General features: G+C 42.4%; 2 annotated features.

Annotated features, from left to right (window-relative positions):
* Nucleotides 7,132–7,751: an enhancer, noted in NCBI's record as "H3K4me1 hESC enhancer chr2:121776165-121776784 (GRCh37/hg19 assembly coordinates)". NCBI's record gives its function as "activates a minimal SCP1, AML or CMV promoter by ChIP-STARR-seq in naive H9 embryonic stem cells {active_cell/tissue: H9 hESC(naive)}" and the evidence as "EXISTENCE:reporter gene assay evidence [ECO:0000049][PMID:30033119]".
* Nucleotides 7,752–8,371: an enhancer, noted in NCBI's record as "H3K4me1 hESC enhancer chr2:121776785-121777404 (GRCh37/hg19 assembly coordinates)". NCBI's record gives its function as "activates a minimal SCP1, AML or CMV promoter by ChIP-STARR-seq in naive H9 embryonic stem cells {active_cell/tissue: H9 hESC(naive)}" and the evidence as "EXISTENCE:reporter gene assay evidence [ECO:0000049][PMID:30033119]".

Genomic DNA, 9,623 nt, shown 5'->3' on the forward strand with positions numbered 1-9,623 from the left:
AATATTCTGAGAGCATAAAGGAGAAATTAAAATATTCCCACATAAACAAAAACTGAGGGAATTTGTCACTAGCAGATCTTCCCTAGAAGAAATGCTAAAGGGTGTCCTTCAGGTTGAAATGACACCAGACAGTAACCCAAAGCCACATGAAGAAATAAATGATACCAGTAAAGGTAGCTAGTTACATAGGTAAATATAGAAGTTAATAGTATTGCAATTTTGGTTTGTAGCTTCTCTTTTGTTCCATATGATTTAGAAGACAAATGCATAAGTCAATAATTATAAATTTATGTTAATGGGCACACAATGTATAAAAATTTGTGAAAATAACAACATGGGGTGGGGAGACAGAGCTGTGAAAGATCAGTTTTATGTACTATCAAAATTTAAAGTTGGTATTAGGGCAGGCGCAGTGGCTCACACTTGTAATCCCAGCACTTTGGGAGGCCAAGGCAGGCAGATCACCTGAGGTCGGGAGTTCAAGACCAGGCTGACCAAAATGGAGAAACCTCATCTCTACTAAAAAAACAAAATTAGCCAGGCATGATGGTGCATGCCTGTAATCACAAATACCCAGGAGGCTGAGGCAGGAGAATTGCTTGAAGCTGGGAAGCAGAGGTTGCGGTGAGCCAAGATTGCGCCATTGCACTCCAGTTTGGGCAACAAGAGAGAAATTCTGTCTCAAAAAAAAAAATGGTATTAATTCAAACTGGATTGTTATAAAGTTAAGATGGTAATTGTAATCTCCAGGGTAACTACTAGGAATAAGACTCAAAAACAGAGGTTGAGGCAGGAGGATTTGTTGAAGCCAGGAGTTCAAGACCAGCCTGGTCAATGTAGCAAGACCCCATCTTTACAAATATATATATATATTTTTTTAAATTAACCAGGCATGGTGGTGTGTGCCTGTTGTCCTAGCTACTCAGGAGGCTGAGACAGGAGGATCTCTTTAGCTCAGGAGTTTGAGGTTGCAGTGGGCTATGACTGCACCACTATACTCCAGCCTGGGCAACAGACTGAGACTCTAGCTCAAAAAAACAAGAAAAAAAAAAAACAAAACAAACATATATATATATGTGTGTATATATATGTGTGTGTGTATATATACATATATACATGTGTGTATATATATATACACGTGTATATATATATATACACACATACACATATATATAGTACACTAAAAATTAGTCACAAAAGAAGGTAGTAGTGGAAGAATTGAGAAACAAAAAGTTTAATACACCCAAAAAACAAATAGCAAAATTGCAGACATAAGTATTTTCTTAGTAGTAATTATTTACATGTAAATGAATTTAAAATTTCCAATGAAAAGCAAACTTTGGCAAAACAGATTTTTAAAATGATACAACTATATGCTCTCCACAAGAAACTCACTTTAAATCTAAAGACACTTATAGGTTGAAAATGAAAGGATGGGGAAAGGTATTACATAAAAATAGTAACCAAAAGAGAGCAAGGGTGGCTATACTTATATCAGACAAAATAGACTTTAAGATAAAAACTATTATGAGACAAAGAAAGAGATTATATATTGATAAAATAGTCAATCCATTATGAATATAAAACAATTATAAATATATATGCATCTAATAACAGAGCCCCAAAATATATGAAGCAAAAATCAACAAAATTGAGTGGAGAAACAGGCAGTTCTACAAAAATAGTTGGAGACTTCAATGCTGCACTTTCAGTAATGGGTAGAACAGCTAGACAGAAGATTAATGAGGAAATAGAGAACCTGAACAACACTATAAACCAATTAGACCCAACAAGCATATGTAGAACACTCCATCCAACAGCAACAGAATATACATTCTTCTCAAGTGCATATGGAACATTCTCCAGTAAAGTTAAAAAGATTAAAATCATACAAAGAATCTTTGTTGACTATAGTGGAATGAAACTAGAAATCAGTAAAGGAAAGAGAAATGGAAACTTCACAAGTACCTGGAAATTAAACGACACACTCTTAAACAACAAGTGAGTTAAAGAAGAAATTACAAGTTAAATCAGAAAATGAGATGAATGATAATTAAACAACACACCAAAACCTATCAGATGCAGTGAAAGCAGTGATAAGAGGGAAATCTATAGCTGTAAATGTATATATTCTATATATATGAAAAATTTATATATATAGTATATACATATATATTTTTAAGACCCTAAATCAATAACCTAATTTTATTAGCTTAAGGAAACATAGAAAGAAGATAAACTAAACTCTGAGGTACCAGAAGGAAAAAATAATAAAGATTAGAGACAAATGAAATAGAAAATAGTAAAACTATGGAAAATATGAAGGAAACTAAAAGTTGGTCCTTTGAAAATATCAACAAAATTGAAAAAAAAATTTAGTTAGACTGACCAAGAGAAAAGGAGAGAATACTCAAATTACTAAAATCAGAGGTACAAGTGGGGAAAAATAGAAAAGCTAATCCTATCACTCATATGAAATTGCAAGGCACCCTCAAATAGCTAAAACAATCTTGAAAAAGAAAAACAAGGTGGAGGACTCATATTTTCTGATTCAAAACGTATTACAAAGCTACAGTCATCAAAACAGTGTAGTACTGTAATAAAAATAAGCATATAGATCAATGGGATAGAAGTAAGGTCCAGAAATAAACAAATTTTCAACAAGGGTGCCAAGAGCATCAGATGGGGAAAGAATAGAGTCTTCAACATACATAAAACAATCAAGTTGGACCTCTACTTCACACCATACACAAAACTTAATACTAATGAATCAATCAAAGACCTGAATGGAAGAGCAAAAACTATAAAACTCTTAGAAGAAAACATAGCGGTGAATCTTCATAACCTTGGATTTGCCACTGGACCCTTAGATATGACACCTAAAGCATACACAACCAAAGAAAAAAATAAATTAAGCGTTATCAAAATTTAAAAAGTTTGTGCTTCAAGGGATACCATTAAAAAAGTGAAAAGACAACCTACAGAATGGGAAATATCTGCAAATCATATATCTGATAATATTCTATTATCCAGAATACATGAAGAACTCTTACAACTGAACAACAAAAAGACAAGCAACTCAATTTGTTTTTTTTGTTTTGTTTCATTTTGTTTTTTGTTTTTGCTTTTTTTTTTTTTTTTTTTTTTTTTTTTGACAGGGTCTGGCTCAGCCGCCCAGGCTGGAGTACAATGGTGTGATCTTGGTTCACTGCAACCTCGACCTCCCAGGCTCGAGCAATTCTCCTGCCTTAGGCTCCCATGTAGCTGGGACTACAGGTGTGTGCCACCACACACAGCTAATTTTTGTATTTTTAGTAGAAACAGGGTTTTGCCATGTTGCCCTTGCTGTTCTTGAACTCCTGAGCTTGAGGGATCTGCCTGCCTTGGCCTCCCAAAGTGCTAAGATTACAAGCTTGAGTCACTGTGCCTGGCCACAGCCCAATTTTTTAAATGGGTAAATAACTTGAATAGATATTTACCCAAAGAAGATATACAAATAGTCAACAAGCACATGAAAAGATGTTCAAAGTCATTAGTCATTAGGGAAACATAAATCAAAACCACAATGAGATACCACTTCATGCCCACTAGGACAACTAGAATAAAAAAGGCGGCCAATAACAAGTGTTGGCAAGGACATAGAAAAAGTGAAATCCTTGTACACTGCTAGTGGGAATGTAAAATGGGGAATTTGCTGTGGAAAACAGTTTGGCCGTTCCTCAAAAAGTGGAACAGAGTGTGACCAAGTGGCCCAGCAATTCCAATATTAGGCAAATAGACAAAACAACTGAAGACAGGTATTCAAAGAAACGCTTCTACGTGAATGTTCGCAGCAGCATTATTCACAATAGCCAAAAGGTGGAAGCAACCGAGATTTTTGTCTACAGATGAATGTGTAAAGAAAGTTGGCATACCCATACAATAGAATAGTATCTCACCATAAAAAGGACTGAAGCATCAATATATGCTACAAGGATGAACTTTGAAATCATTATGTTCAGCGAAAGAAGCCAGACACAAAAAGTCACACTGTATGGCTCCATTTATGTGAAATATTCAGAACTGGCAAATCCACAGAGATAGAAAGCAAATTAGTGGCTGCCTGGGACTAGGGGAAGGAGAGACAGAGTGACTGCTTAATGGGTATGGTTTTTTTTTAGGAGACGGAAATATTTTGGAACTAGTCAAAAGTGATGGCTGCACAACATTGTACATGTACTAAATGTGCACTATTTTCACGTTCTGTGAAACAACATAAAAATAGTTATTTTTAAAATAGTTTAAAATTGTTATTTTTATGTTACGTGAATTTTACCTCAATAGAAAAAGCCTGACTTTCAGTTCCCAGCTCACACCTGTGGAAGCAGATTCTCTAGCCTGGGAATCTGAGTGATTTGAAAGATCCCACGTGATTCCACTGGGCAGCCAGGTCTGGGCTGTGCTCCCTGCAGGGTCGCTGGGGCCCGGAGCACAGTGGGGAGAGCGGAGGTGGGTTTGGGAAGGCAGGGAGGGCCAGCATGTGGAAGTGGCTGGACTGTGTTCTTCAGCTGCCCTGGCTTCTCCTTCTCTCAGGGAACCAGATTCTCTTCCTCTCTGCTACTCCTCCAGTCCCTCAAAGTCTCCCATCACTCCTCAAGGGGCTGCTTCTCCCCACAAAGTGTGTGACGTACAGAAACCGACTTCTCTTGACTGCACACCAGCCGCGGGCCTGGGGCTGGGCTGGGTTGGGCTCTTGGCATGTGTTATTCTATTTAACCCTCCCCACAAACTTCAAAGAAAGTTATTACGATCTCCTCCTACAGCTGAGAAAACTGAGGCTCAGAAAGGATAAATATTTGCCCAAGGTCACCTGGTTAGAGAGTGAAGAAACCAGACCTGCCTTACGTCAAAACCCAAGCCCCACACCACAGCTCTCCTGCCAAGGCCTGGGTTCCTGTTTGTTACACTCGGCCAACTGGAGTTTGGAGACTGATCACCTAGGGGCTTCCAGCAGCCTTGTGAGTGCTCACACAGATCAACTGAGGCCCAGAAAAGTCCCTTGGCTTGCCCAAGTTCCCATGGTGAGCACAGCCTGATTGGCAAAGAAGTGCTGAGAGAATTGAGAGAACGGCAGGTCATTTATAACACACTCTCCCCTAAACAACACAGTCACTTTCAGGCCAGGAACACTGGCTCACGCCTGTAATCCCAGCACTTTGGGAAGCTGAGGCAGGTGAATCACTTGAGCCCGGGAGTTCAAGACCAGCCTGGGCAACATAGGGAGGCCTTGTCTCTACAAATAATTTAAAAAGTAGTCGGATGTAGTGGTGTGTGCCTAGGGTCCTAGCTACTCAGGAGGCTGAGGTGGGAGGATCGTTTGAACCTAGGAAGTTGAGGCTACAGTGAGCCAAGATCAAACCACTGCACTCCAGCCTGGGGAATTGAGCCTGTCTCAAAAAAAAAAAAAATCACTTTCAGTATGGAAAAATATTAACAGCCAGAAAAGAAACACCCCTAGTGAAAAACATATAATGTTCAATTATGATTATATATAATCATAGTATATAATATTTATATATTATTTGGTATGTTATATAATAATATACTAATATAATATATTAATATTAACTATATGTTTATATATAATATAATATTTATACATATGATCATTCAGGTAAAGACAATTTTTTAAAAAGTAAAAAGAAAGGAAAAGAAAACAAAAATTACAGTACCCAAAAGGAAAAAACTCAACTATTTATTCAATACTTTTTATAGCTACCCAACAGTTTGAACTTTAATCCTTTAGTTCCAGGTTGAGGTAATACTAACTTGTATAATGAATTGTCTCATAACTAATAAGTTAATTTTAACAAAACCAAAACATCTGCAAAGTGTACAATGTAGGCACGTACTAAATCACACAATGAGGTAGTGTTTTATTTTATTGACTTAATGAGTTTTAAAATAGCCAACTAACATAAAAATATACATTCGGATTTTAAAGACATTATTCAAATTCTGCCAAATAGTTCATGTATGAGCTAAAACCTGTGCTTACCAGACAAAAACATTACAGCCAGCAGTTTGCGCTGCTTCACTGTTCTCAGTTTTGAACACTAATTGACGCCTCAAGTTCTGCGTCAGTCTTTGCAGCCACCGTGTCTGAGCAGCGTATTGCAGCGGCAGCTGGAAACACAAATTGTGCCTGAAAGGAAGTCCAGTGATTCCAGGACATCTGAACATGGCTTGCAATGGGTGTAGCTGGGCCAGTGAGTGACAGAGGCCAATTGTATAACTTGGAGCCCTCAAATTGTCTTCTATGTAGAACCCAATGTTTATTAAAGGGTAATTAATAAAAGTGTGCTCATTTGAAGCTTACACATATGCATTATTAAAATTCAACCATAGCAATTATTTACAACTTAAACCAACAAAAGATTTTCTTCTCAGAGGAAAATCTTACTATTGACATAGTTTAGAATGGCTGATGCAGGTTATCAATAAAAGCAGACCAATTATTAGTCTGTTTTATTACTACTTTTATTTATTTATTTTTAAATTGAGACAGAGTCTCACTCTGTCGCCCAGGCTGGAGTGCAGTGGCATGATCTTGGTTCACTGCAACCTCCGCCTCCCGGGTTCAAGCGATCGAGCGATTCTCGTGCCTCAGAGCAATTCTCATGCCTCAGCTTCCTGAGTAGCTGGGATTACAGACACGCGCCACCACGCCTGGCTAATTTTTTTGTATTTTTAGTAGAGACGAGGTTTCACCATGTTGGCCAGGCTGGCCTCGAACTCCTAACCTCAGGTGATCCACCCGCCTTGGCCTCCCAAGGTGTTGGGATTACAGGGTGAGCCACCGCGCCCAGCCTTATTACTACTTTTAAATTTGCCATAGCTCCTGCACCTGCGTACTGCCTGCCCTGAGAGTGGACCCCTCTCGCCACCTGCCCGCGGTCCTGAGCTGGCCTCAAATGACCTTTCAGCGTCTTCTGCCCAGGGGGTAAGATGAAAGCAGGGGCCCTTCCTGGTCTTCTAGAAGCATCAGCTTTCTGAGACTCCTGCTCCCCAGCACAAACCATTCTCAGGACGCCTGGGCTGTCAGTTCAGCTCGTGGCCTCCTCCGCTATTTAAGACCCAGCTCACCTCCTACCTCCCCAAGATGCCTGACCACCTCCTCCGTCTCCACAACGGGGTGCGTAAGGCCCAGCCGCCTGTGTGCCTTCGAGTCCTGCTGGGCTCCTTGAGGGTCCTCACTGTCCAGCTCCGGGCCCATGACGGGCATCTTGGGAGGTGCTCGGCGTCTGGCTCTGTTCCCGCCATACCCAGCAGAACGCTGTGGTCCCTCAGGGCTGCTGAATGAGGGGGCGGAGGCAGCAGGAAGAACAGTCAGCCCTCAATGAGGGCCGCAACCAGGCGATAGGAGGCCACACGACAGCCAGACGCCCCATTGGCCTGGCGGCTGCAGTCCAGCCCTTCCGGGTGAGTGGGATTTGCTGCTCACGCCCGCAGCAGCCCCTGAGGCGGGGAGGCGCGGGAGGGACTGGAGCCTTCCGCCCGAGTGTTCCCCAGCCTCGTGGCTGGCCCTGCACGGGCATCGCCTCGCCTCAACCCCACAGCAGCCTTTCAGGCCGTCCTGTTTGGGTGGGTTCAGAGGCGCCTCGTCCTTCCAACCAGCCAGGCACTAAGGGGGCCTCGTAAGGAGGAGCGTAAGGCTCTCAGAACAAGCGGCCGCCCTCAAAGGGCCTGGAACTCCACAAAGGCAGTGCTTCAGAAGCCTAGCGGCCTCCTGCCAGCTCTTCTGCGGGGAATTCCCCTGCCCTGAGGCGCTCCAGCCTAGCCCAGTCTGCTTGCACCCTCTGCATATCCCCAGCACAGCTGTTCTGCCTCGAGGCCCCCAGCTAACCAGCAGCTTCTCCTACTGAGGGAATCTGACAGCAGCCCCTGCCCCCTCCACCCAGCCGTCTCCCTGGTTCACGCTCCTACTGTGCCCAGGCTGCTTGCTTCTAGGGGACTGGGGCCAGACTGGCACAGTAAAGGTCCCGTCTAATGCAGAGATCTCCTATTCTTCTTACGTCCTTCATTTTACAAATGAGGAGGCTGTGGAGAGGTCTAATGATGTGCACCAGGGCCTGCAGAAAGCGTTTCTGAGCACGGAGGCTGGGGAGTGAGACCCCTGGAAGGCAGTGGCCCCTTCCTGGCCCGTGCACTGGCCAACTGCTGGGATATACTGCCTGTGGCGAGACTTATTAAGCTATCTGAAGCCGTGAAGGGAAACCTGCTATGTGTAAATATCAACCATCTGGCAAAATACCTGGAGCGAGATTTTATTTCTGCTGGGCATTATTATGGGTATTGATTTGAGAATCTGAAAATTCAATAAAACAGATTAAACCTCCCAAGGAATGAGTATGTGGACCATCAACCCATGTCGCCCTGGGCGTGAAGTCTTCGTGGGTAGGAAGGAGTCGTCAGGCAGGCATCTGAGTGGGGCATGGGGAACTGGAGGCAGGCTGAGCCGAGCTCAGTGGGAAGCTCCTCCCCAAAGGGGCTGGCCTCCCAGCTCATCAGCCCAGGCCTGGTCTCTGGGGCCCCCAACACGCACTGAGGATATAGGGGTGACACAAACATGGTCCCTCCTTCTGCAGGACATCTGGCCTGGCTCCTCAGGAAGCCAGTAGCCTCAGAAAAAAGGGGGTGTTGTGTATTCTAGATACAAGAGATGAAAGAGACCCAGTGACCAAATGTCAACCTTGATTGAATCTTCGTTCAGAAGAAAAAAACAACTATCAAGGACAGTCCTGGGACAATCTGTGAAATTTGAATATGGCCTGAGTGTTAGAAGATATTAGAGAAACTATTAATTTTTTAGGTGTGACAATAGTTTTGTAGGAGAATGTCGTTATTATTAGGAGATGCACTCTGGCTGAAGTATTTAAGTGAAAAATGTCCTTATGTCTACCTCTTACTTTCAAAGGGTCAGTAAAAAAAAATCGATCTGTGTATATATGTTGTCAGAGCAAATAGGGCAAATTATGAACAATTGTTGAATCTAGATGGAAGGTTTGCAAGAGTCCATTGTACTATCAACTTTTTTTCTCTGTTTTTAATTTTTTTAATTTTATTTTTAGACAGGATCTCACTCTGTCATCCAAGCTGGAGTGCAGTGGCACCATCTTGGCTCACTGCAGCCTTGATCACCCTGGGCTCAAGTGATCTTCCACCTCCCTGGGCTCAAGACATCCTCCCACCTCAGCCTCCCAAGTAGCTGGGACTACAGGCACATGATACCACACCCGACTAATTTTTCTGTTTTTTTGCAGAGATGGGATTTCACCATGTTGCCCAGGCTAGGCTCAAACTCCTGGGCTCAAGCAATCCTCCAGCCTCAGCCTCCCGAAGTGCTGGGATGACAGGTGTGAGCCACTGCACCTGGCCTTTAATTTTTAATAATAAGAAGTTTGGGAAATAGAAAGATGGAATCCCTATCAAGAGACTCACAGTCTAGAGAGTTTAGTTAAACACACCTACACAAACCAGTAGGCTTTTCCCTAGGGACACTCTGGTGGAGAGGCCAGGAGCCCCTCCTATAGCAGCTCTCTCTGACTTCAGACACATGACTCCAAGTTTAGGATACCAAATAA

Source organism: Homo sapiens, chromosome 2, assembly GCF_000001405.40.
Source record: "Homo sapiens chromosome 2, GRCh38.p14 Primary Assembly".
NCBI lineage: Eukaryota > Metazoa > Chordata > Mammalia > Primates > Hominidae > Homo > Homo sapiens.